The following is a 26305-nucleotide window of genomic DNA, read 5'->3' as shown; positions in this document are numbered from 1 at the left end:
TGAGCATAGAAATTTGTTTTATGGGTGTTTCTTACTGTTTATTTTATTTATTATTTTTTTTTTTGAGACAGAGTCTCACTCTGTCACCCAGGCTGGAGTGCAGTGGTGCAATCTCAGCTCAGTGCAACTTCTGCCTCCCAGGTTCAAGCAGTTCTCTGCCTCAGCCTCCCTAGTAGCTGGGATTACAGGCGCCCGCCACCACACCCAGCTAATTTTTTTGTATTTTTAGTCGAAATGGGGTTTCATCATCTTGGCCAGGCTGGTGTTGAACTCCTGACTGCCTGATCCACCCGCCTCAGCCTCCCAAAGTGCTAGGATTACAGGTGTGAGTCACCGTGCCCGGCCTCTTACTGTTTCTTTACCCTACTTGTCTTATGAGTATTGAGGCCCTGCCTAAAATTAAGTTTTTAGTCATTCTAGGTACAACATAGTATATGCTAGCTTATTCAGTTTCTTATGTATCTTATCTCTTTATGTGATCCTTAGTTCTTGGCACAGGGTTGGTTAGCACCTTGTGACCAATAAGTTATCATTTCATTCCCATTTACTTGGTGAATGGAGGCTAGTTTGTTTCAACTCTTTCCTTTGTCCTTGAACAGTCTGAAGATGATGAGAAACTGAAAAAGAGGAAGGAGCGATTTGGGATTGTCACAAGTTCAGCTGGAACTGGAACCACAGAGGATACAGAGGTAAAAATATACCTGGAACGCTTCATAGACCTTGAAGGGAAATTAGAGTGAATAAACTGAATGGAGAAATATTGTTTCCCCACCTATTTATTTATTTATTTATTTACTTATTTAAGTCGAGTTGGGGTCTCTGTTGCCCAGGAAGTGAGAGTGAATAAACTGAGTAGAGAAACACTGTTTTCCCACCTACTTCTTAATTATTTATTTATTTAAGTAGAGATGGGGTCTCATTCTGTTGCTCAGGCTGGTCTCAAACTCCTGGGCTCAAGCGATCCTCTGCACTCAGCTCCCAAATTGCTGGGATTATTATAGGCATGAGCCACTATGTCTGGCCACCCACCTACTTCTTAAGTGTCCAAATATTTTGCTTTTTTCTTGATAACTTTTTTTCTGGGTGAAGTGGCAACACTGAATTCCATCAATATACTTAATTCAGTGTTAGAGTCTGTTAGACTAGTGGCAAAGAGTATAACGTTTGGAATCAGGTAGGCTTGGATTCTAAAATTGGCTCTGGGCTGGGTGTGGTGGCTCATGCCTGTAATCTTAGCACTTTGGGAGGCTGAGGCAGGCAGATCTCTTGAGCCCAGGAGTTTGAGACCAGCCTGGGCAACATGGAGAAACCCTGTCTCTACTAAAAATACAAAAATTAGCTAGGCGTGGTGGCACACACCTATAGTCCCAGCTACTCAGGAGGCTGAGATGGGAGGATCACTTAAGCCCAGGAGGTCAAGGCTGCAGTGAACCTGGATGGCGCCACTGTACTCCAGCCTGGGCAATAGAGTGAGACCCTGTCTCAAAAAAGAAAAAGGCGGCCGGGCATGGTGGCTTACGCCTATAATCCTAGCACTTTGGGAGGCTGAGGCAGGCAGATTACCTGAGGTCGAGAGTTCAAGATCAGCCTGGCCAACATGGTGAAACCCCATCTCTACTAAAAATACATTTATTTATTTATTTATTTACTTATTTAAAAAAATTAGCCAGGTGCAGTGGCATGTGCCTGTAATCCCAGCTACTCTGGAGACCGAGGCATGAGAATCTCTTGAAACCGGGAGGCAGAGGTTGCGGTGAGCCAAGATCACGCCACTCCAACATGGGCTACAGAGTGAGACTTGCTCTCAAAAAAAAAAAAAAGAAAAGAAAAAGGCTTTGCCACTTAGTATTAATAAGTTACAGTACTTCCTGAGCCTCAGGTTTCATCATCTAGGAAGTGGAGATAATAAAACCTACCTCAAAGTTTTATTTAAAGAGTGAAACGATTCTGTATAAAAAGGGATAGTTTTAAAATATTTAATAAGAACTGGTTGTGCCTAACTCATTTCTGGAAAAGGACAGTGGACTCAAATGAGACTTCCTGTTCTTGTCACTTTGTTTACAGATAGTTTCTCAAAATGAAAGAATCCCAGCACTTTAGGAGAGCAGTGTGGGAGGATCACTTGAGGTCAGGAGTTGGAGACTAGCCTGGGCAACATAGTGAGACCTCATCTCTACTAAAAGTTTAAAATAAATTAGCTGAGTGTGGTGGCATGTGCCTGTAGTCCCAGCTACTCCAGAGGCTGAGGTGGAGGTTGTAGTGAGCCCAGATGGCACCCCTGTACTCCAGCCTGGGCAACAGAGCAAGACTGTCTCAAAAAAAAAAAAAAAAAAAGTATATTAGGCTGTTCTTGCATTGCTGTAAAGGAGAAATACATGAGACTAGGTAACTTATGAAGAAAAGAGGCTTAATTGGCTTACATTTCTGCAGGCTTTATGGGAAGCATGGTGCTGGCATCTGCTTGGCTTCTGGGGAGGCCTCAGGAAGCTTACAATCATGGTGGAAGGCCTTAAACAGCCATATCTGGCAAGAACTTACTATCTTGAGGACAGTACCAACAGGATGATGCTTTATGAAAAGCTTCTTTTTTTTTTTGAGATGGAGTCTCGCTCTGTCGTCCAGGCTGGAGTGCAGTGGTGCGATCTCAGCTCACTGCAACCTCCGCCTCCCGGGTTCAAGTGATTATTGTGCTTCAGCCTCCTGAGTACCTGGGATTACAGGCGTGTGCCACCACACCCGGCTAATTTTTGTGTTTTTAGTAGAGACGGGGTTTTACCGTGTTGGTCAGGCTGGTCTTGAACTCCTGACCTCGTGATCTGCCTGCCTCGGCCTCTCAAAGTCCTGAGATTACAGGCGTGAGCCACCATGCCTGGCCTATGAAAAGCTTCTTCATGAATAAGTATCAGAGTCAGTCTTGTAAATTAAACCCTGAAAATTTTAGAGTCAGATCAGCTAACACTCTTCACTAGAAAAAAGCCAGAGGAGTTTGTATTCTGCTAGGGGCAGTGGTTGGGAGTGCCCATGAAGGACTTGGTGCTGTTCTGTGAGTCACTTCCAGAACCAGAAGTCTTCCCTCACCATTTTGTGTCCTCTCCAGTGTTGCTGTCTCCTTTAAGAGATCTATGATAGGGACTCACCCACATACCACTCACTCCCTATTCGTTCTGTTGGCATCAAAGATTTATATGCCTTTTTTGTGGGTTGGAGTCCTAAGGAATAGCTACTGTCTGGGCCTGACTGCTCAGAAGGGCATCTCCTTCACCTCTATGAATAGCATTGGTTAATCCTTTATCCTCTGAAATCTTCCGTCTCCCCATTGACTGGAAGACTTTTCCCAGCCTGTTAAGAGCCCATTGTTTCCAGGCTAGCTTGATCTCAGGCTGAGTGGCTCTCTTTGCTTCAGGAATCTTCCCATTTTCTACCACTGTTCTTCTCTCTGTCCCTCACCCCCAGTAATCTTCTTTACTCCTCACCCTCCTTACCCATTAAACTTTCCAGCTCCTACTGGATAACTGGAAGGATTGGAGAGATTCAGGAATGAAATCTCTAGCTACCAAGCTCAAGTCTGGGCCATCCTTCCTTCTCGGGCCTTGTGACAGTTCATGTGAGTTTGGATTAAAGCAGCCAGGAACCCAGGCAACTATTGTCTTCAGTCTAATTTTTTTCTTCTTGCTTCTTCTTTACAGGCAAAGAAGAGGAAAAGAGCAGAGCGCTTTGGGATTGCCTGATGAAAAGTTCCTGATACTTTCTGTTCTCCAGTGTTTTCCATTTCTCTCCTTCTTCTTGGTCACATATATGCCTAAATGCACAGTCATGTGCCTACGTCCTGCCTCGCAATGAGGGAGCATGTACCCCAGGTACATCCATGAACTGCGGCAGCAGTTTGACTTATTGCTGTTTCAGCTTTAAGGTTGTTGTGTTTTTGTTTTTGATTATGTTGCTTGTTAATAAAAAAAAATAGAAAAGAGAACAATGTGTTTTATTAGGTGCTCCTTTGATTTATTGGAGCTAGATTAGACCAGATAAGGGGAGCTTCAGGGGCAAATATTATAGAGAATTGGCCATAATACCTTTATCCCTTAGAAGAGAAGACAAGGAAAAGGACTGAGTTTACCCTTTAAGCCTGTTTATTCCCTTCTGTCATACTCACAAGCATTTTTTATCCTCTGTGAAGAGGTTAAGTTACCCACCCACCAAGTCTTTGCTCCAGCAGCTTGTAGTGACCCACTGAAATAAAACAGAACATGGGAGGTTTTAGGTGTTGCAAAGGATATAAATACAAGGGCAGTGATTAGTAGCCTTCTGTTATTAGCTAATAATGCAGACTTTTTCTTGGATAAAATGGAGTCCAGGGTCCCACATTAAAGGAAAAGGGCCCTGATTTCAAGGGTGATGTGATACGATACTATGTTGGTCAGTCAGTTCAGGAAGGGAGATGGGCTGGATATCCCTCAGAGACAGAAGAAATTTTGTATGCAGAATCAAAGCATGACAGAGGATGTCAGAGCTGTTACGCATTGTTAGCTAAATCATTGGGAACATAAGCAGTGGAACTGGAGGCTTCAAGTTCATGTAGATCTGAAACCTGCTTAATCTTTTTGGATATGTTATTGCAGAATTTCTCCTCTTAATCTTTATATAAGCTCGGTTTTTGTTTGAGCTATTTTTGGTAATAAGACTTAGGAGCCTGACACCTTACCTGAAGACTTTGGTACTATGATCAGGTCCCATGTTGCTGTGGTGTAATCCTTTATCCTTATTTCTACTAAAACCTGCCTGGTTTTGTGCTTAATGAAATGGTAATAGTTTGATCACCTTTCTAATGTCAAGATATCTCTTTATTTCTCCAAAGTCTCTGGTTGGTGAGGAAAGCAGGGACCTAAAGTTTAGATAATTTAGAAAAATTGTGCCTTGGAGAGCAGATCCAAAAACTGCTGCCCATTTGTTGTGAAGTTTGCCCCATTCTGAGACTTTGGAGAAGTGAACAAAAGGGAATGCTGGTTAAATTTTTGACACCTCTTCAACCAAATAAACCTTAAAATTGGAATGACCTTCCCTTTTCCCTCTTTTCTGTCTGCCTTCCTTTTCTTTACCTCAGGCTCTGATCTTGGGGCTAGCTTTTCCTCTCTCTACTCTGCCTTCATCTGAAAACAGAATAGATCTGATTTGTAACTTGAGAGATTATAGATTCACTAATGGTTTCTTCCTGAATATGGTTTTAAAAAGAGAAAAATACATGAGGGAATAGAGCAGATGCTGATTATGAAGTGGAACAGTGGATCTTTTGGAAGTTTTCTTCGTCTCTTTATCCTCTATAACCTTCCAGAAAGATATTCAGCCTTACTTGCCAGGATTCTCTTCTTGAAGCCTAATTATTCTCCTCACTCATCTTACTTCCCCTAGATCTTTGAACAGTGTTTTCCAATTTGTGAGGATTTTTTTTTTTTTCTTATTAACCTCTTTCATCCCATTTCAGCAGCTGTTCCTATGTTGGTCAGAAGTCTCTAACCTCCAAGCCAGATGAAGTCCTCCCCTTCCTATCTCATTATAGTCATTCTCCACATACTCTTTGAGCATGAATAGTTCAGGATGCCTTTTTCCCAATTCAGTTTTAAAATAGTAATTCCGTTTGGAGATGGAACAGACATTGAGGCTTGTAATTGTTTACCTGAGATCTTAGTACCCTTCCTTCCTCTCCCCGTTTCCCTACTATAGTTGATCCAGCATCCAGATGTGGTTAACTGATTCCAATTCCTGAAGCTGTGACATTCTCTGCATACCTGGAAGCTCTTAATGAGGGAGTCTATAAAAGCTGTGGGGAGAACTAGCTTCCTCAGCTGTAAATCTGTACTTTTTTATGGTTCTCTAGGATTATTCTTTTTTTCCACTCTCACTCTAAACTGCCCAGCCCCCCACCCCACCTCTTAAGAACTGCTGAAGATAGAGGCTAGAAGCTTCTGTGAGGATGAGGGCTATAGGAAGGAAGGTGTGAATAAGGGCAGGACTTCTTGGTGTTGAGCTGAGTTCTCTTGCTGTGTCTGATATGAGGAGTGAGGGAGGAACTTAAGGGAGGATAACTTTTTTGCTGTTCTCTTATATGAGGGCCTCTGGCAATGCCACTTATTTCTGATTATTGGAATCCCCCCAAAATTTAACCTCCCCTTCTCTTGCCATATCTAGACTTTTCTTGTTTTTCCCTTCCAAAGGGATTTAAAATTACAGGTTTCACATCTTTCCAGATTCTTTGAGTCCAAGGTGTCCCTAACTTTCTTGTTATCTCTTTCCCTTATGTTATTCCTGTATTTAGGTTTCTACCTCCCGGATCACTTTCAATAGGATAGATTAGAATGTAATATTGTTTAGCAACTACTTAGGTTTAATTTCTTATTCTACCACACTAGCTCTGAGACCCTGCGCAGATAATCATTCTCTTTTCAGACTGTACCAAAAGGAACCCCATTGTGAAGGTTGCTGTGTGAATTAAGTGATATTCTCATATCATGTATTCACACTACAATTTGCTTACCATAATTTGCATAGTAATTATTCAATAAATATTAGCTTTTACTGGGTGATCAGGGTACTGTGGAAATACATATTTCTTTCCCTGAGTAGGTTCTAGCTAGGTATGAGTGCCCTAGTTTGAACATGTTTGTGTGTGCATACACCCAGTTAATGCAGTCGTATTTTGAGAAAAAGAAAAGGCAGAAAGAGTCCCATTCACTCCCTCAAGCCCAGCTCACTGGCAGGAAAGCTGGACATTGTTGCTTTGGAGCATTGATTTTCCTGCTTCTACGCCACTACAGACCAGAAGCTGTAGATGCCACTGCCTGCTGATTCTTAGCTTGGGGCCCCTGCCATTTAAAATATAGGCAAGGTCAGAGTATAGGATAGCTTCCCATGCCTTCGGTTGGAGGATGTTTTAGGATAAAGAAAAGACTTGTAAAAAGTCATCTTGAGTAGTCTTTTTTTGGGTGTTCTCTCAATATAGGAAACAAATGAGCCACAGGGAGAGAAAACCCATTTTCAGCTCAGGCCAAAGTTAGGGGTAGATGTGGATATGGTTCCCTTGGGAAGATAGAATACATAACACTTCTGCTACTCAACCACTTCCAGCCTTAGTCTTGTAGTTGGTCTCGAGTGGGGTCAGTGTGCTGATAGAACTGATAAGACAGGGAAAACATGGCAGTACATTGAACCCGCAGTAGCGCTGTCCCCAATTCTGGATCAGGTTGATGTCACAGGAGCTTTCCTTATTTTTATTTTACTTTAATTATTTTTAGAGACAGTGTCTTACTGTGTTGCTCAGCTTGGAGTACAGTGGCTATTTACAGGCCCAATTATAGCACACTGCAGCCTTGACCCTCTGGCCTCAAGTGGTCCTCCTGCCACAGCCTCCTGAATAGCTGGAACTACAGGAGCACACCACTGGGTCCTGCTTTCCTTTTTTTTTTTTTTTTTTTTTTTTTGGAGATGGGAGTCTCACTCTGTCACCATGCTAGAGTGCAGTGGTGCGATCTCAGCTCACTGCAACCTCCGCCACCTGGGTTCAAGCGATTCTTCTGCCTCAGCCTTCCATGTAGCTGGGATTACAGGCGCACGCCACCACGCCCGGCTAATTTTGGGTATTTTAGTAGAGATGAGGTTTCACAATGTTGGCCAGCATGGTCTCGAACTCCGGACCTTGCATGATCCGCCCGCCTCGGCCCCCCAAAGTGCTGGGATTACAGATGTAAGCCACTGCGCCCAGCCAGCTTTCCTTATTTTTGAAAAATGTGAGTCAGGCAATATTCTTTTGCCATTCCCAACTCATATTCCTGGGGAATTGTGCTCTAGGTACATGGGAAAAATTTTTACAGTGAACTGAAAGAATATTTGAGATGCTATTTTAGCCACTCTTGTGTAACAAGGCAAGTTCGTTGGCTATGTTGGTTTAGATTTTTGTCAAACTTCGTTGAGGAAACCTAGGAACAGGGACTGCAGGAGAATAGGACACTAGCTGGATCATCTCAAGAGAACCTTTAGATCTTCCATACTAGCTGGATCATCTCAAGAGAACCTTTAGATCTTCCATTCTGTGGAGGCTGGGAGAGGGGTCTTGTTGTCTTTGGGACTGTTTTGGCTCAAGCTTTTCAGAGAGGGGTTGTTCTAGGTACCCCCAGTTTCCTGTCCTCTTTCCATCCTTCCTTGGCCTGCATGTCCCAAACCTTATACCACCATGCCCTTAGTGTTTTCTGTCTTGCTCCAGGACCCCATCTTCTTAGTCATTGAACACGAGGTTTCCTGTCTCAGATCCTCTTCACCTCCGGTTCTCCAAGGTGTAAATGTGGCACTTGATTAGGGAGAAGAGCTCAGCACTGAATTCTAAACTCTTTGACCGCTTTTATTTTTTTTTTCAGGTTCAAGTGCTGGATTGTGTCATGTGACCATCCCAAAACTCAGAGCACCCTATGGCCGTCTTTGCCCTCTGTCACATAACTTGAAAACTGCCTGATGGCCTTTTTGCAGTGGTTCCCTCCAGGAAGCCTTGATCTCAGTTGAAGAAGTTCTTTCCTGGCATTCCAATGCCCCTGTCAGCTCCATACTCCTCAGACACCCTTAACAAAGGCTGTCATGCACACAATGTGACAAATACACAAAATAAATGATAATTACACTAATAATGATATGTTCAGAGGGGCACTGGCCAGGTCCACACACATCATAAGGTGGGAGGGGGTGCTAACTCCCACTGGGTTGCTGAGCTGTGCCCCCCAAGTCCCTTCACTCTGTGCCTCTTTGGGGGTAGGGAGGAACAGGGGAATGAGACTTCAGCTCACAGATTTATGTTCATAAGAGAAAGACCCCTGCCCCCCCCCCACCCACCACACACACACAAAGGTCTTTATTTGGTGGTATTTAAGGAGCTGTATTCTAAGTGTCCCCCATATTTAATGCCCCAGCTCTCTAGAATCTGTAGAGGGAAGATACCTGATGCTTATTGCCCAATCCCTACTCTGCCAAGATCACGAGGCATTTGACCTTGGAGGGAGGTATCTGTTCTTCACTTCTCTGTTCCTTTCCTTCCACCAAGGAAATGTGAGTGGTGTTGATGGCCGGGTGTGTCTTGTCCTTCAGGATTGGGGCAGAAGGAAGGATGAAGAACAGGGCCAGAGAGGCTTGGGGTTAGCATAGCTGCTATATGGGTGAAGGCAAGCTGAAGAGCCTAACAGCCCTGCCCATTCCTCTACTGAAAGATCTTGTTTCACTTTCTCACTATAAGAATAGGAATAAGATGTTAAAGCTCACCAACATCACCTTCTCAAGGGTGGTCACATACCTTTGCCCCTTCCACCAACTGGCCAAGGGGGAGAGTCATGCTCTTGGGAAGAATGAGCCATCCAGTTTTGCTCACCAGCTTGGGCTTTACTTTAGTTCAGTACTGTTTTTATCAGACCCGTAACTGCTGGCTCTACTTAGAGTGACAGTTTTGCTGAAGATTCTTACCCCCACCTCTCCTGACATCCTCTAAGCTCTTGCCTGGAGCCAAGAGGCCTGGTGGTGAAGTAAGGATAGGGTGTGGATCAGGAGATTCTCAACTCCTTGGCTTCTAGGCACTGTCCAGCTGGGAGGCAGAGGGGAACTTGTACTCTGAAGCCTGTGACTCCTCTTAAGCCTCACATCTCTTCACCACTACTCTGGTGCCCTGGTTATCTGTCCCACAGCGAGAGGTATTTTATGTCCATAAAGTGCCCGTGGTAAGTGCTCAGAATTCATCTCTTGGCTGTGGCGGGTGCTGTCATTTCTCATTCCATTGAGGGGAAGAAACTGAGGCACAGTGAGTCCAGAGGAGAATGGGTCAGGGTTGTGGGAGGAATGAATGGGCCTAGCTAGTGACTTGAAATGGCAACCAGTCTCTGCCTGCTTCCTAGCCTTCCAAGCCCGGGAGTCTCCATCCTTCCCATCCTCTGTTCTAACTGGCCTTGTCAGATGCTTTTCCCCACTGTACTTTCCCCTCCCTGCTGCCAGGTACTGTTAGATTCCAAAAATAAAAGGAAAAAATAATTATACACTCTGCTTCCTTGTTCTCCCCTCTTCCACCCTGAGCTTTGGGGTTAGGAGACTAAAATGTCCCCCTTCCAGAATCCTTCCCACCTTGGTCTGCTGGCTCTATTCCCTAGCCCAGAGCAGTGATTTGGATTCAAATGCCCTGTAACCTTCAGCCTCCTTACTGCTCCTTTCTTGACCTCTCCTAACGCTTTCCAGACCCAGGGGACTCTGGGGTCTCTATACTCTCTCTAATTGACCTGAAGATAGAGGCTGGGAGCAGGGCCATTCCAGAGGCTCTTTGGTCTCTCTCTTGGCTGAGGGAATTTGGGCATAAGCAGGCTGCACCCTCTGGCTAAATAACTCAGCATCATGAGGGTGGACCTGAGGGTTTAAAGTAGCTCTCATTATATAGATCCTGGATGTTGAGGGTTCTCTCTCCCACCCCCGCATCCCCAGCTCTTAAACCCTAACCTCTTACTATTTCCATGACAACTGGCTTCAATTCAAGCCATTTGGCTCAGAAAAGGTTGAGTTAGGGTGATGATGGGTTAGAAACTAAACTTCATGTGTCCGCCCTCTTGCCCTTTACTCCCATTCCCAACCCTGGAGGCTTTATACAAGTGCTTAAGTGAGTAGGTGTTGGGGAGAGCAGGGTTTGGGGAATAAGGGATAAACGGGGCACAGTGGGCAGGGGCCCTCCTATTCCAGTAAAGCCAAATACCAAAAAAATGAAAAGTCACAATAAATAAATAAATAAAAATTCCCAAATCTTTTTGCCCCTGCCCTCACTTCCCCTTCCCCTGGCCACTGTTGGAGGGAGAGAAGGAGAAAAGAATGGATTTTTGATTTCTTCTCCTACTGAATAGTCAGGGGATCTCCCCAAACTATACCAAGCCCCTCACCTTGCCAGTGGAAGAAAGGAGGCTTGGTGTGGGGCTTTCATTTATTACTCCATTTCAGTCTCTTTCTCAGTGTTTTGTCTCTGCCTCGTCTGTCTCTTCTGCCTCTCTCTTTGCCTTCTCACTGCTGCTCTTTTTGTTCCTCTGTCTCTATCACTGTCTCTACATCTCTCTGTCTTTTTGTCAAACCTTCTCATCTGCAAACTTCAAACACTCCCCACCCTGACTATGCCCCTGCTTCCCCTTTCCCCCAAACCCCTCACCCTCAATTCCCACCTGCCTCCCTCTGTTGTATTGCACACGGCTTGGTCGGGGAACGGTGTGATGTTCGCGGGAAGAGTGGAGGGAGCTCTAGGGCTTGGGGGGATGGGGGCAGGGCTAGGGGTCTTGGGGTAGGGTCTGTGGGGGAGGCATCCTCTATCCCCCACCTTAAGAGCAGCCACAGCGATCCACCACCATGCCAGGGATCTTGCCGTAGATAATCTGCTGCTTGTCATTGAAGTAGAGCATGTTGATTGGGGACATCTTGGTGGGGGTACAACAGGGCCCAGCAGAGCCTCTTGGATTGGCCTGCTGCACCAAATGGGTATGCGGATATTTTTGCATGAACATGTACTCGCACTGGCCGGAGCAGTAGTTGGCCTTGTAGCGCTTAGGTGCGATGATCCAGTCCCAGCCGAAAGCCTCAAAGTCCACTGTGAGGGGATATCGGCAGCAGCGGGACTCGCTTGAGTGCTCGTCGCAGTCCAGACCCAGGTTCCGCCGGGAACGTTTTGTGTTCTCTAGGACTCGAAGCTCCATGAATGGATGCTGAGGGTCAGGGAGAGGGGAAAGAAATGTGATATGGTCCTGAACAGTTCCTCTTCCCTGTTCCTTTCCCACCTGCCAGGGGCATCAGAATAGAGACTGCTGACTTCTCAGCTTTTCCATTGCTCCCACCCCCAGAATTTATCTTTTGCCCACTTTTCTTGCCAGCTAGCTAGCTCTCCTTCAACTCACCATCTCTAATTCTTACTCTTCTGGCAACCTGATCCCTGTCAGCCCCTTGGCCCAACGCCTCAACAGCCAGTTTTTTTGTTCTCACAGCTCTTCCATTAACTGACACCTTTACCTTCAAATCCAGTTTTCAGCTGTTGTCTGATTTGGATCCTTGAGAAGTAATAGTTGCCACCCCACTCCTCACCTCCTCCTCTAGAATCAGCTGCTGACCCCAGAGAAGTAATGCTGGTCCCCAACCTCCTTCACATTCCTTGTCTACCTTTTCCAATGTAACCCTATCTCCTCAGGGCCAGGTTACACATATCCACCACCTCAGGCCCCCTGCTCACCAGCCCCTCGGCTCCCGGCCCCAGGGAGGTGACAGCCAGGTCTGTGCCACTGGGATCAAAGGCGTTGATCTCGATGCCCCAGTTGCTCTGTGGCTGGCGGAACCAGCTGTGTAGCACTTGCTTGAAGTCGATGCTCTGCCAATGGCCTGAGCGTGAGTGCAGCTCAATCTTCAGTGAGCGGATACGGATGTGACGCCGGCCTCCGCCCCCTCCCCCTGCGGTCCCTTCCCCAGTTAGGGGTTTTAGTCGCAAGATCTGCAGGTAGACTGTGGCTGGGCGGGGTACAGGCCGTAGGTACACCCACAGCTGGGCCTTCAGTACCTTTGTGAACATCACCTTGGGGCTGAAGTGAAAATGGCAGCAGAGAGGGCTGCCATCTGTCTGTACTGCTGGGTCCGCTGATAAGAGAGAAGGGCACAGCATCAGCAAAGGGTGTTTGTGTAGGGGATCAGTAGTCCTGGGTGGCACTGGCAATTTTGGACTTCTCAGCCTGATTTTCCAGTTCTTCTTTACCCTTCTCCCATGCCTATCTTATACCATGTCTCCGGTACCTAAAACAGCACTTCCTCTTTAGGATGATGGCCCTATAAGGCCTTACTGATCTGTGTCCATTTCCTAATCCATTTGCCCTAATATATAGGTTCCTGTCTACCAGATAACCTGCAAAATTATTCATCCACCACCATCCTTACTGTCCAACTTTTCCCAGCATATAAGGCTCCAACATTTTCTGAATCTTTGAAGCTCTTTATAGAAGCCATACCTCTTATCACACCTGCTGCCCTTCCATCACCTTTCCCCTATCTGCTCTGATTTATCTGCTGGACAGGTAGAGCCTGGCACATCCCTCCCCCACAAAATAACACAGATGGCCTCAGAGAGGGGATAACCCAGGGTCCAGATAGGGAGCATGAGCTAAATTTATCCCATTATGTAAACCAGAATTCAGATCTAGGCTTCTTGCCTCACTCCCATTAGGAATAACACCCAGCAAAATGGAACTATCCAAGCACTTCCTATACATCTGTCTCCCCATTCTCTCTTAAGAAGTTTCTTCAGCTGCTGCTCCATCATCATCACCATGACTGCCCCCAGCTCTTGAGGAAAGGAATAATTACCTCCATGGTGTTGCCTCCTATTTGCCTAAAGCACCAGAAATAATATTAAATACACCAGATTAACTACAATGCCTTTTTTCTCCCCTGAGCTTCCTTTGACTTCTCAGTCTAGTGCCAGTAGGTCTTTACAAAGTTTGAACATCCCAACTTTACATTTTGACCCATTTCCCCTTGCTCTGGACCTTAAATTGATCCTTCTTGGGTCTAATAGATGATTCTCAATAAATATCTGCCTCTGCCTCCATTCCAGCTCCTCTTCACTGCCTTTCCTAAGTCAGTTGGGAGTGTCCTACAACATGTCTCCATTGGACAGAATATGTCTATCCTGACTCTAGATAGGAAGAATCAGGAATGAGCTTCCAGAGCCATATAAGCAGGGTTAGGAAGTCTAGGCCTTTAAGTATCCTCCCCATGTCTTGAGTTCTGCAAAATCAGGATGGACTTAGGGTGTCCTGTCAGCTCTTCCCCACCCCCACCCTGGGAGAAAGAGGACCTTCTAAGGGAGATGAGGAGAAAGTGCTTAATGAACTTCATATATTCAGGATATGATACCCAAAGTCTCTATAGCTTTTTTTTTTCTTGATTATTCTCTGAGGTCCCAGGGCCCTGGTAGTCCAGTTATTTTACTGGCTGGAGCTTCAGTGATGGTGCAATGGAGTAGGGTTTGGGGGGTGAGAATTCAGAGATCAGAAGTAGCTGGGATAGGGAAGCTACTAGTGAGATGGGGAGTGACAAGCAACATCCCAAATAGCATACTTTACAAATTTCAGCATAAGAATTGTCTATTTTCTTGCCATTAGGTACTAATCTCCATGAGAGTGGACACTGTTGTTATTCATACTGTGTCTGTTTTGCTCACCATTGTAGCTTCAGTGCCTCCCATAGTGCTAGACAGCACTCAATAAATACATGGTGAATGAACTCCCTAAACTCCCAATCTTAAATTATACAGGCAAGTGCCTGAAAGTTCTTCCTGGCATCTAAATTCTGTTCTTTGGCTATAATTGAAGTGGGTTTAATCACTGCCTGATTCCTTACTAACCACTATCTAACCTTACTCACCAAACTTCTCAGTGTGATACAGATAATAATAATTCTTGCTTCACATGAGTGCTGAGCATTAACTAGAGAATGTGAAAATAGGAAACAAACAAACCAACATTTATTGAGAAGCTACTACTATTTTCGCATTCTCTACTAAGCTCTAAACATAACCCTCCCTCTACCTAAGCTGATCCAGGGTTTGAAGATGAGGGCTACATCTAAGTCTTTGGTTCCACATACTTGTCCCAGTGGACAGGGGACAGTCAGTGCTACAAGGAGGTAGAACATAGGGAGAAAGAAAAGAGCAGGGAGAAGAGCCAGGGGAGAGACTGGAGATGGTGAGGGAGATAATAGAGAAGAGACTGTTAAGAGTTGAAGGCATATTAGTAGATATAGGGAGAGAAATAGAAGTTAGAGTGGAAAGATGCAGGGGATAATCATGGCAAAGGGAGAATAAGTTTGAGAGTTTGAGAATCCTGATGCAGAGGCAGTGATAGAAAGGAGTGGGTGATGGTTAGAAAGCTAAAGGTGGGAGGAAGCTAAACCTAGTGGGGTAAAGGAGAGAAAGGATAGAAAGGGTACAGACTGAGGAACAAAGGAGAAGCAGGTAGAGCCACAGAGGGAAACGGGGCTCGAGAGAGTACCCAGCACACATATGCCGAGCTCTGATGGGGAGGAAAAGGGGCCACATCTGTGTTGAATTGATCGGGCTGGTGGCAGGCAGCAGGTCAGGTTTAGTAGGCGGCGCTGGTGGGAGAGAGAGGTCACTGCACTATTTTCAGCAAATGCCCAACCCCCTCCCTGCACACCACCTCCCCTTCCCCCCACCCTAACCCCCCCAAACACACACACTCCCAACCATGGCTGGAAGGCCTAAGGGCAGGAGGTTGGGCTGAGAGGGCAGGGGCCTCTTGGTGTGGGGAGGAGAGAGAAACTCGGGCTGGGCTTGGCTCCCAGAAGGGCAGGGGGCTGGGTTCCCAGGATGAAGGCTTGGTGGGAGAGCCTGAGAGGGTAGAGGGAACTAGGGCAGGCAGAGCAGCCTAGGAGAGGTGGGGGCTGGGGTCCAGGGTTGAGGGCTGGGGGAGGGGAGGGAGGGGGAGGGGAACGGAGGCCATCTCTGCTGACAAACACCTCCCCCGATTAGCAGAGCACAAGTCTCTTATTAAAGCGGGTCCCTGGGGATTAGACTATAAAAGTCTCTTTTTCCTTTTCCCCTCTCTCCCTCCCCTCCCCTCCACTCCCCCTCCCTCTCTTAAGAGCTCAGCTAGGCTCTTAAAGGGGACGTACAATACCTGGCCGGAGACCCAGTTCCCTACTTGTACAAGTCCTGGGGTGGCACGGGACTGTAAGTTTTGATGGGATCCTACCAGCTGGTGTCCCCTTCCCACCGACCCAGGCCTCACCTGCACAGCCCAACTCATGAAGGCAGGGTCCCTTCACTTCGTGTATCCCCATTACCAGAGCTAACTCTGGTGGGCTCAGGCCTGTTGGTTAAGGGATGCTAAGGATATTTAGGGGCAAGGAGAAGTCCACAGCCCCATCACCCATCCTGGAAATCTTCACACACACTACACCACAGAGACTAGAGTATCTTTTCCCTCTGTAACCTTCATCTTCCAGCAAACTCTTGATCTGAATTCCTCTATAACTCTGTTTCCTAGAAACCCCACCCCCTACCCCTGCCCTCAGTCGATCTGAGACTGACCCTAGCTTCCATAAGCAGAAGGCTTAAGAATAGAAGGGAAACTGAGGAACCCCAGACCGGATCCCCATACCTCCCACCCCCACAGCCAGTTTCCTGGTTCTTTGAGTTTAACAGCCCTGACCAAGTCTTGTGGAATTGAGGTCTGCAGAAATACCAGGGGCAGTGTGAGGCACTCAGCCTCCCAGATGCACACCTGGGTTCCTGTGCCTCTCCCATGGGGGTGGGCCACTGGGACTCCCCTCAGCCCCCAGCTTTTTATGACCCATCTGCCAATAAACCAGTCTCCCCCGTCTTCTGTTCACAGCCATAAAACCAAACTCTGTGTGTGTTGCAGGGGGCTGTGGGAAGGGGGGAACCTTGCCAAACCACTAGGGAATAAGAGAGGCCTGGTTCCCTGTAGTTGGGGAGGGGGGGAGACCTCAGTGGGGGAGGAGAAGGAGTCACCTGACCCTAAGGAGAGCTGGAAAAGGGGGGGTGTAGTATTCGCCTGGATTTTCCAGGCCATAAAATTTCAAAGCAGCTCATGTCTATTATATGTTCATCTTCCGTTTGGTCAGGGGCTCGGATGCCTGGGTTCCTGCTCCCCCATCTACTACTTTCTCTTTTTTCCTAGGTCTTCGTCTCTCTCAAGTCCACCTGCGGTAGGGGTGGGCGAATAAGGGATGGAACACTAAGGTTTGAGTAGCCAATGAGTGTCCTTAGCCCCCAGCGCAATGGAGTTGAGCTCTCCGAGCTCGGTCAGTATCAAGAAGGCACAGCTTTTCCGACCCCTTGGGATACCCGGTCTGAGACAGGGGTCAGGATGGAAAGGGTGCCAGCTGGGCTGCCAGGAGGTGTACAGGGCTCTGGGACCCTATTCTTGGGAGAAAGCACACAGTTCTCTGCAACCCGTTGGGCACGTTGCGAACGGAGCACGGAGTGGGGAGTTACCGCCAGGGCCACTGGGAAGCAGAGAGCACTGCAGTCCAGCTGGGGCTGCGGGGGTCCTGCAGCCTCCCGATTCTGTTCTCCAGCCTCCCCACCACGGCTTTTCAGGACAGAGTCACTGCCCAGCCCCAGCTTCCCCGGACTCCAACAAGGATCTTTTTAGCATACTGGGGGTGGAAGGCACTATCTCGAAACCCGCCCCATTTCCCCCGCCCCAACCTCCGGGAACTAGGCGTGCATACAACTTTGCAGCCCATCTCCACCGCTCGGAAAACTTCTATGAAGTAGCCCCCGCTCCCTAATTCGTCAAGTTTTCGCAGAAAAAGCTTCCGGGCCGGGGCAGCAGGGAGCGCCCCGCTTGGAGCAGAAGGCGCCCTTCGCGGGGCCAGAGCCAGCACCCCACTGCTCGCGCCCCGCAGCCCACTTACTCTCCTGGGCCATGCTAATGACGGTCTCGGTGGTGGCGTGGTACTCGTCCTCCTCCAGGAAGTCCTCGGGCTGCAGCGCGTCGCCCTGGAAGTCGTGTAGGTCCAGGATCTGCTGCAGCGGCGGCGCCTTGGGCAGCAGCTGCTTCACCACCTCGCGGCTGATGTTGGGCGCCTCCTTGAGCCGCAGTTTGCTCAAGATCTGCGACTTGATGCTCTCTAGGCGCAGCTCGCGGCTGTGCTGCCGCCAAACGCACACGGGGCAGCCGTCCGGCTCGGGCGCCACGGACGGGGCTGGCCGGCTGGAGCGCTCCCCCCCGACCCCCGCCGCTGCCGCCGCCGCCGCCGCCGCCGCCGCCGCCGCGGGGCCCTCGGCCGCCTCCCCCCGGGGCCGCAGCTCCAGGGCGAGGAGCAGGAAGCCCAGCAGCAGCGGGGCCGCGAGCACCATGCTGGAGGGGAGGGGAGGGAGGACTGGGGGGCGGGGACGCCGGAGTCCCGCGGGGAGGGGGCGGAGGGAGGAGGGAGGGAGGAGGAGGGGGTCCGGGCGGCGCGGGATTGGGGGCTGCCCGGCCGAGGGGGGACCCGGGGGGCCGGGGGCGGCGGGCGCGCGGGCGGGGCGGGCGGGCGGCCGGGGCGGGCGGCTGGGGGGGCCCGAGCCCGGGCCAGGCCCTTTATAGCCCCGGCCCCCGTGTCGTCAGCGGCCGCGATTGGCTGCGGAGCCAACAAAAGAGGCAGCGCTGTCATCCGAGGCGAGAGAGGGAGCCGGAGAGAGCCGAGGAATAGAGAGAGGGAGGGAATGAGGGAGCAAGGGCCAGAGAGAGATGAAGAGACAGAGATATGAGGGGGCGGGGGGGCGGATATAGAGGGAAAGTCAGAGCCAGAGAGACCAAGGAGAATCAGAGAGATAAGGGGGAAGAGACAGAGATAGGAAAAGGAGGAGGAGAGAGGGAGAGACAAAGGAGGAAAAGAAGAGTCAGGGGGAAGACGCAGAGGTGAGAGACTTAGCTAGAGAGGGAAATTGTGTGTCTGTGGGAGACACAGAACCAAGAAGGAGGAAGACTGGGACAACTAGTGGGAGAGTTAGAGTGGAGACAAAAATGGGGAGAAGAGGGGTACCACTAGATAGGGGGAGACAGAGGTCTACAGAGCCAGACCAGAAGAGATCGGGGGTCATGGAGATGGGAACAGCGGCAGAGGAACAGAGGACAGAAGAGTGCCCTGGGAAAGGGGTGGGGGGGGGGGTGGGGGGGAGAGAAATCAGGATGGGGGAGGAGAGAGAGGGGCACAGACAGGGAGACAACAAGGGAGCCCCTGAGGAGGCAGGTGCAGGGGATTGGGGGTGGGGGAGAGGAAAGGCAGAAACTCCTGAGAGAAGGAGCCACAAGAGTCAGCCTTGGTGGGAGCACAGAGAGCCCAGGGGACAGAGGTGGAGAACTTGAGACCAGAGGAGCTCTAGCCACCAGAGGTAGCCCAAAGAAGATGCTCAAGGAAGCCATGGAAGGAAGCACCAGGCTAGGCTCATCAGAGGGATTAAGGGGACTAGGAGAGGAAGAGGTCAGGGACAACCTAAGAAGGTGGAGAGGTGATGGGAAGAACTGAAACAGAGGGAAGACATAGAGCTGGGAAGACTGTGAGCTTGAAACTGGGGCTTAACAGGGCTAATGTAGTCAGCCGGCTGGAAAAGGCAGGAGCTAGAGGCCACTGGGGGAAGGGTGAGAGGAGATGGCTGGAGGCTGTTATACTTGGGGAGAAATCTAGATCTCTGGATTTCTAGCTATATCTTTGGATCTGCAGGGTCTTAGAAGTCTGAGAAGGGGCTGGAGGTTGCAAGGGTGAGCATGGGAAAGAAGTCTGCGCTCAGATGCACGAGATGAAATACAGATGTGGGACCAGCCCTAGTCTTCAGGTGTGATCCTGGGCAGTCAGAGAGCAGAGTAAAACAGTACTAAGGTGAAAAAATGTTTTGAATGTGCTTAACTTCTGACTTCAGGTTTTCCAGGCTTATTTCTGGATCTGAAAGCCCTGGAGCAATAGTCAAATGGAAAATGTTTGTGCCAGGCCAGGCGCGGTGGCTCACGCCTGTAATCCCAGCACTTTGGGAGGCCGAGGTGGGCGGATCACGAGGTCAGGAGATCGAGACCATCCTGGCTAACACGGTGAAACCCTGTCTCTACTAAAAATACAAAAAATTAGCCGGGCGTGGTGGCGGGTGCCTGTAGTCCTAGCTGCTGGGGAGGCTGAGGCAGGAGAATGGCGTGAACCTGGGAGGCGGAGCTTGCAGTGAGCCGAGATCGCGCCATTGCACCCCAGCCTGGGCGACAGAGTGAGACTCCGTCTCAAAAAAAAAAAAAAAAGAAAAGAAAAGAAAATGTTTGAAGGAATCAGGTCTTGCTAATTTCCTGGCATTCACAATGTTTATTTAATAAATGGATGAACTTTATTATTGGGCTTCTCAGAATAGAGGGGCATTGGTTTCCTCTCTGGAATTAAAGCCCAATAACATATCTTAAAGTTGGCTTGGCATAGGCATCAGGAGCACCAGACATAAGGATAGAGTTGGGTTGAGGAACTGGAGTAAAATAAGGGAAGAAACTGGGGATCCAGGTATGAGGGGAGGAGGTTGGGTAGGGGTTAGGAGGACCAAGCTGGGGAGCTTTGAAGAGACAATCCATTTCCATGGGTAACAGAAACTGAAAACAAAACAGACTGGAACAAAAACTTAGCTTGTTCCCTCCCTTGCTTTCAACCAAGACATGGGCATTTCAGCATTTCATCAAGTTTCTTAATCTATAATATGGGGCCACAATTCCTACCCTTAACTGGTTGTGGGGATTACATATAAGCAATCAATAGTGGCCTTCATGGGCTTCTTCTCCTTCATGATTCTTCCTTTCCTTTCTGATTTTCCAGAGCAGCGATTGCCTTTAGCACATATTCTGGCATATCCTATTTTCTAAAATGTTTCTCTGTCATTTCTTCAGCAAAATTGGAAAGGCTGTGAGAGCAAAGTTGGTGTCACCTCCTTCTTCTCCCTTAGAGAAGGTAGTACAGGCTTCACTTCCTCACCAAACATGTATCTAGTGGCAGGTACAAAGATAAATGAGATGCAAAAGTAAGTAAGACTCAGCTCCTTTCCTCAGAGAACATATAAACTAGAAAAGACACTAGGTAGGCCGGGCGCGGTGGCTCACGCCTGTAATCCCAATACTTCGGGAGGCCACGGTGGGTGGATCACCTGAGGTCAGGAGTTCGAGACCAGCCTGGCCAACATGGTGAAACCCCGTCTCTACTGAAAATACAAAAATTAGCTGGGCATGGTGATATGCGCCTGTAGTCCCATCTACTCAGGAGGTTGAGATGGGAGAATCACTTGAACCTGGAAGGCGGAGGTTGCAGTGAGCCAAGATCATGCCACTGCACTCCAGCCTGGGCGACAGAGCAAGACTCTGTCAAACAAAAAAAAAAAAAAAAAAAAAAGAAGGAAGGAAGAAAGAAAAGAAAAGAAGAAAAGAAAAAGAAAAGAAAAGAAAAGAAAAGAAAAGAAAAGAAGACATTAAGTAAACAGGACCAGCCAGAACTCTAGGCCAGATGCCTCCTGCATATCTCAATCTGGATGTTTCATGGCACTTCAAATATCACAGGTTAGAGAACCCCTTCTTTCTCCCTAAAATGTGTCCCATCCTGCAGCTTTTCATTTTAGTGAATGACAATCATCCAGGCTAGAAATCTGAATGTCTTGTTTCACCCTTGTCCTCTTGACCATTTCTGAATCTTTGCACAGGTTGTTTCTTCTTCCTAGAACAATTCCCCCTACTACTTCCACTCTCTTCCACCCACCAATCTCTTGGCCAAGTTTACTCTTTCTTCAGGTCTCAGCATAGATCCCATCCAAGAATCCCTTCCTGACTTCGGGTCTAGAGTAGTTGCTTCTCCCAGATATATCTGCACCATTCTGTGAGGTATGGAGATAATCGCCTAGCTTCTAGACTAGAAGTAGGCTGGCTGGGTTCAAGTCCCAGCTCTCTCCCTTTTCTGGTTGTGTAAACTTGGACAAGTTATTAAACCTCTTTATACCTCAGATTCCTCACCTGTAAGATGGGAATAATTATATATATATATAGAGAGAGAGAGAGACGGAGTCTTGCTTTGTCGCCCAGGTTGAAGTACAGTGGCGAGATCTCGGCTCACTGCAACCTCCACTTCCCAGGTTCAAGCGATTCTCCTATCCTCAGCCGCCCGAATAGCTGGGATTACAGGCACGCGCCACCAAGCCTGGCTAATTTTTGTATTTTTAGTAGAGACAGGGTTTCACCATGTTGGCCAGGCTGGTCTTGAACTCCTGACCTCAAGTGATCCACCCGCCTTGCCTCCCGAATTGCTGGGATTACAGGCGTGAGCCACTGTACCTGGCCAAGGATAACAATATTGTACCTATTTCATAAGGTTATGAAGATTAAATGTCTGAAAAACTGTTCTAAATGCATTAGTTATTACTGTTACCCCAACTTACAACGCTCACCTTGGGAGACCAGAGAGAGCAGGAACTTTTTCACCAAAGTATTCCTTAACAGCTTTGAATAAAGAATGAATGAGGCCTGCTAAGTGAACTTGATAAGAGTTGGGTGGGGGAAAGAAGACAGTGTATTTGTATATATGAGGGGTTATTGGTATCTGCCAAATACAGGGAATTGGAGTCAGGAACATTTGAGACAGAAAGGTTTTCTATCTCCTGATAGCCTCCTCAGTTTCCAAGACTAAACTTAATCCAATAAGTGGACAAGACTGCCATCTGATGGTAGAATCTGGAATATCAGCTCCTCGGAGGTGGAACTGAAAGCACGGCTTAAGGGTTTTATTTTTGCATACGTTGTACATTTTCATTTTAGAATTTTAGTTCGAAAAGTTCCATATCATAATGCATTAAGCCTTGTCCTTTCCCCAGCGCCTCCCAGATCTTGCCTATTTCCTTGAGTTCCCTCAGGTTTGGTCCTGTTGGGATCCCCTGAGTTTCAGGAATTAACCCCTGGGAGGTTTCTTTTAGGAGCTTCAGAACTCCAGCTGCCCCAGACTCCCTAAAAATGGGGCACTGGTGGCTTTACGGAAAATAAGTTCGGGGGGATCTGGACATTAGATCTTTCCTTATCCTAGTACATGCTTAGGTTTGGGGCCCCGCCCACTGTCCTAGTCTCCCTGGCAACTGTCTTCCTGCCAAGGGTGCCCCTCTCCCAGAGTTACCCAGGCAACCTTCAGGCCCGCCTTCTTCAAGGTCCTGACTGGTTCATAGCAAATGTGGGTCGCAGCCTAAGGGAGGCATTTAGGCTTAAAATGTATGAGCTGCCGGGAGAGAAGGAGGCTGTGTTCCGGGGGAGGGTATGAGGTTTCAAGACCTGCTAGAGAGAGAGGTGCTTGGGTAGATGGTCTGCTATATCCTCAGGAAGAGCTGCAGCTCCCTGGAGCCTGTCACCGGGGTCTGAGGCCAGAGTTGCCTGGACCATGATCAGAAGTGCTGCTGCCAGAACAGGGGAACCATTGTAAGGGAACCCTGTAAGGGGGGACTCCCGCCACCCTGCACCTTCACCACAATGGCCACCTCCACACCCAAACTGCCTTGTCTATCAGAGCTAGGCTCAGTGGGGAGTAGCTATTTTTCTCCCCTCCCTAGGGAGGATCCCTAATCCTATCTCTTCTTCCTTTTTTCTCCTAAAGTTTCTATTTTGAGGGTCAGTGGACTCATTCTTTGGCACTGCAGGGCTTTCTAAGGAGGGGAGGGGCTACATCTCGTTGAGATGTAGCAGAGGGGAGAGGCTTACTCCCCGGCTCTCCTGCTCTCCCTGCATGTGCCTCTGGGGGAGTGGGGAGGCTATTCTGGGCTAGGGGGTGGTGTGTTAGTAGAGTGGACCCCTTCCAGTCCTCTGCCCACAAATCCTGCAGCTCCAGAGAGGATGTCACTGTAATTACTGTCCTCTCCCACACCACCTTCTAAATCCTATAATTATCTTGCCGGGATCACTTGGCAGTCTTGTTAACCTCTTTAGCCCCAAGGCCCTCTAAGAGAAGTTGGGAGTTGGGAGAAGGGGGCCAAAGAGTTTGCGTTTGGGGTGGGGGGCAGTGTGGCAGGATACAACTGGGGGACTCTAAGAATCATTTGGGGTTATGTCTTCCTTTGCCTCTGGCCTCCCTCCTGCTTATCCCCAATCTGTCCCCTCTCTCCTCATGGCAGGCCAGCTCTACAACTCCACTGGGTGCAAGCTGCTGCTTATCTTCATTCTTGGCCTCCCTGGGGTCCCCACCTCTTCCCTGAGTTCTCACCTACTGCTCCCTCTCTGGGCCCATGGTGGGTCCTCATTACAGGCCCTGTTTCTGGCAGTGGCCAATGCTGCCAGCAGGAGGCACCACTATTCCAGCTGCTGCTCCAGGAAAAGAACGGGTCTAAGTGCAATGTCAGCTTCTCCAAGGACCTTAAAATGCTGGCAGATGGGCTGATCCAGGAGGCGACAAAGCAGTACCTGGGCTGCCAGGTGAGGGAGCTGTTGGGAAGCAGGGGGGAACTGCAGGAGTGTTCAGAGGGAATTCTCTCTCCAGAGGGAATGAAGGAGAAAGCAGAGGGTAGTGAAGGTCAAAGTTGTCAGATGAGGGGCATGTGTGTGTGTGTGAACGGTGAGGGTGTCAGGACGACCAGCGGGTCTGGCTGGGATCTGGGAATGGGAGCCTGAAATTGGTGAGGGCAGGAGAAACTGGTCTGGGCTCTACCGAGGGGTGCCAGCACTCCTCACCCCTAGTTCCCTGGGCTGCAAGACCACATCCATGGGGAACAACCCAACAAATTTGAGAACAGCCTGGGTGAGTCTGCCACAGGCCCTTCTTCTTTGGCAGGTATCTCAGGTCCTCTGCTGCCCCACTGCATCCCCCAGCCTGTGCTAGGCAGCTTCCAGAACCCAGGGGTTCTCTTTGTCATAGCCCTCTCACCACACTGTATTTTTTGTCTGTGCCTATAAGGTTGTAAGCACCCTGAAGGCAGGGACATGTCTTACTTATCTCCATGTTTAGGCTCCCCATACATGGATTAATACATGAATGAATTTTTCCTGAGCCCCTGCCTAGGCCTCTTGGCCTTTTAGTCCCAAGGAACAGAAACCTGAGATAACCACCCAGTCCCAGCATCACCTCTTTGTCATTTCTCCTATGTTTATCTCTGTTCCATCCTAGGAAAAACTTTAGTTGTGAGGCTCTGTGACTCTCAGGTAGATACCTCTGTGCTCCTGTGCCTGGTTCTGGGCCAGAACCACACAGCAGCTAAGATCCTGGCCAAGGGAGTGCATAAACAAGACATGAACCTGGACGAGGCTCTCAAGCAGGATGGGCTGGAGCTGTTCATCCTGCCCACTCACCAGCTGGGCATTTGGATGGACCTCGTTGTTAATGATGGCACTGGCTGGGAAGAGACTGGGACAGGAGTGACAATGAGGGGCCAGAGGTCAGGAACTAGGGGCCCAAGAAATGGGGAAAGGAATTGAGGCGGGCCCTGAGGACAGATCCTGGTGGGGGTGGGGCTGGAGTGTGGGGTTGCCAGAGGAGCTAGACCTTGGGGCTTGAATTGGGGGGTCTAGGCCAAGGCCAAGGCCAAGGTGAGTGTGAGGGGCAGAAGGAGGCTGGATTGTCCCTCCCACCCCTACCTTGGCTATGTCAGTTGGGGTGGGGTATCCAGATATTTCTCAAAGCAAAATCATTTTAATTCCCATGAGTCTGAAAACAGGGTATGATAAAGCCTCATCATTCTTTTTTGTTTGTTTTTTGAGGTCTTTGGAGAAGGACCTCAAAACGCTGGCAGATGGGCTGATCCAGGAGTGTTGCTCTGTTGCCCAGGCTGGAGTGCAGTGGCATGATCTCGGCTCACTGCAGGCTCCGTCTCCCGGTTTCAAGCAATGTTCCTGCCTCAGCCTCCCGAGTAGCTAGGACTGCAGGCACATGCCACCATGCCCAGCTAATTTTTTTGTATTTTTAGTAGAGACAGGGTTTCGCCATGTTGGCCAGGCTGGTCTTGAACTCCTGACGTCAGGTGATCCACCCGCCTCGGCCTCCCAAAGTGTTGGGATTACAGGTGTGAGCCACTGCGTCCGACCGTTTTTGTTTTTATAGAGATGGGGTTTTACCGTCTTGCCCAGGCTGATCTCGAACTCCTGGGCTCCTACCTCAGCCTCTCAAAGTGTTGGGATTACAGGTGTGAGCCACCACATCCAGCCAAGCCTTACCGTTCCTTTTTTTTGTTTTGTTTTGTTTTGTTTTTTTGGGACGGAGTTTCCCTCTTGTTGCTCAGGCTGGAGTGCAATGGCACCATCTTGGCTCACGGCAACCTCCGTCTCCCGGGTTCCAGTGATTCTCCTGCTTCAGCCTCCCCAGTAGCTGGGATTACAGGCATGTGCCACCACACCCAGCTAATTTGTATTTTTAGTAGAGACGGGGGCCTGTCCATGTTGGTCAGGCTGGTCTTGAACTCCTGACCTCAGGTGATCCGCCCGCCTCAGCCTCCCAAAGTGCTGGTATTACAGGTGTGAGCCACTGTGCCCAGCCACCATTTTTCTGTTATTTTTTTATTTTTTTGAGATGGAGTCTTGCTCTGTCACCCAGGCTGGAGTGCAGTGCTGTGATCTCACTGCAACCTCTGCCTCCCAGGTTCAAGCAATTCTCCTGCCTCAGCCTCCCGAGTAGCTGGGACTACAGGTGCATGCCACCACGCCCGGCTAATTTTTTGTATTTTAGTAGAGATGGAATTTCACTGTGTTGTCCAGGCTGGTCTCAAACTCCTGAGCTCAGGCTATCCATCCACCTCAGC

General features: G+C 48.9%; 2 protein-coding genes across 5 annotated transcripts in view, besides 4 other annotated features; one reads left to right on the top strand and one right to left on the bottom strand.

Moving 5' to 3' along the window:
• SARNP (SAP domain containing ribonucleoprotein) overlaps window positions 1-8777 on the top strand; it is a 65262-nt gene extending 56485 nt beyond the window's left edge. For 2 of the 3 annotated variants that reach the window (NR_026722.2, NR_026723.2), the window contains 3 exons: window positions 600-689; window positions 3687-3857; window positions 8400-8777. Coding sequence is in view for 1 of the 3 variants with exons in the window: in NM_033082.4 (NP_149073.1) it covers window positions 600-689; window positions 3687-3728 (132 nt within the window). In the remaining 2 variants the exon portion in view is untranslated. Of the gene's footprint in view, window positions 1-599; window positions 690-3686; window positions 3971-8399 lie in introns of those variants that run through there. The other variant, NM_033082.4, reaches the window with a different exon arrangement.
• Window positions 3976-18118, bottom strand: GDF11 (growth differentiation factor 11). Of its 2 annotated transcripts, XM_006719194.4 has the most exons (4): window positions 17479-18118; window positions 12257-12654; window positions 11357-11738; window positions 4110-4227 (listed from the first exon to the last, which is right to left on the bottom strand). In XM_006719194.4, the coding sequence occupies exons 1-3, from the start codon at window positions 17921-17923 to the stop codon at window positions 11358-11360; spliced, it is 1224 nt and encodes a 407-aa protein (XP_006719257.1). In that variant the 5' UTR covers window positions 17924-18118; the 3' UTR covers window positions 4110-4227; window position 11357. The 2 variants fall into 2 exon arrangements, with proteins under 2 accessions (NP_005802.1, XP_006719257.1); NM_005811.5 differs by having other exon boundaries at window positions 3976-11738.
• Window positions 13718-14221: an enhancer, noted in NCBI's record as "OCT4-NANOG-H3K4me1 hESC enhancer chr12:56140803-56141306 (GRCh37/hg19 assembly coordinates)". NCBI's record gives its function as "activates a minimal SCP1, AML or CMV promoter by ChIP-STARR-seq in naive H9 embryonic stem cells {active_cell/tissue: H9 hESC(naive)}" and the evidence as "EXISTENCE:reporter gene assay evidence [ECO:0000049][PMID:30033119]".
• Window positions 14222-14725: an enhancer, noted in NCBI's record as "OCT4-NANOG-H3K27ac-H3K4me1 hESC enhancer chr12:56140299-56140802 (GRCh37/hg19 assembly coordinates)". NCBI's record gives its function as "activates a minimal SCP1, AML or CMV promoter by ChIP-STARR-seq in naive H9 embryonic stem cells {active_cell/tissue: H9 hESC(naive)}" and the evidence as "EXISTENCE:reporter gene assay evidence [ECO:0000049][PMID:30033119]".
• Window positions 17083-17142: a silencer, noted in NCBI's record as "silent region_4537". NCBI's record gives its function as "represses an Ori minimal core promoter by ATAC-STARR-seq in GM12878 lymphoblastoid cells {active_cell/tissue: GM12878}" and the evidence as "EXISTENCE:reporter gene assay evidence [ECO:0000049][PMID:35858748]".
• Window positions 22735-23054: an enhancer, noted in NCBI's record as "active region_6459". NCBI's record gives its function as "activates an Ori minimal core promoter by ATAC-STARR-seq in GM12878 lymphoblastoid cells {active_cell/tissue: GM12878}" and the evidence as "EXISTENCE:reporter gene assay evidence [ECO:0000049][PMID:35858748]".

This window comes from Homo sapiens, chromosome 12 (assembly GCF_000001405.40).
Source record: "Homo sapiens chromosome 12, GRCh38.p14 Primary Assembly".
NCBI lineage: Eukaryota > Metazoa > Chordata > Mammalia > Primates > Hominidae > Homo > Homo sapiens.
The sequence above is the reverse complement of the archived record's forward strand: the minus strand, read 5'-3'. Positions and strand labels throughout refer to the sequence as shown.

Excerpts from the sequence above, each read along its gene's own strand:
- GDF11 (NM_005811.5), bottom strand. The coding sequence starts at position 17,923 with ATGGTGCTCGCGGCCCCGCTGCTGCTGGGCTTCCTGCTCCTCGCCCTG. Across the intron at positions 12,655-17,478 it reads CATTAGCATGGCCCAGGAGA|CGGACCCAGCAGTACAGACA; the intron begins GTAAGTGGGCTG and ends CTCTCTTATCAG. Across the intron at positions 11,739-12,256 it reads GGCCGGGAGCCGAGGGGCTG|CATCCATTCATGGAGCTTCG; the intron begins GTGAGCAGGGGG and ends CCTGACCCTCAG.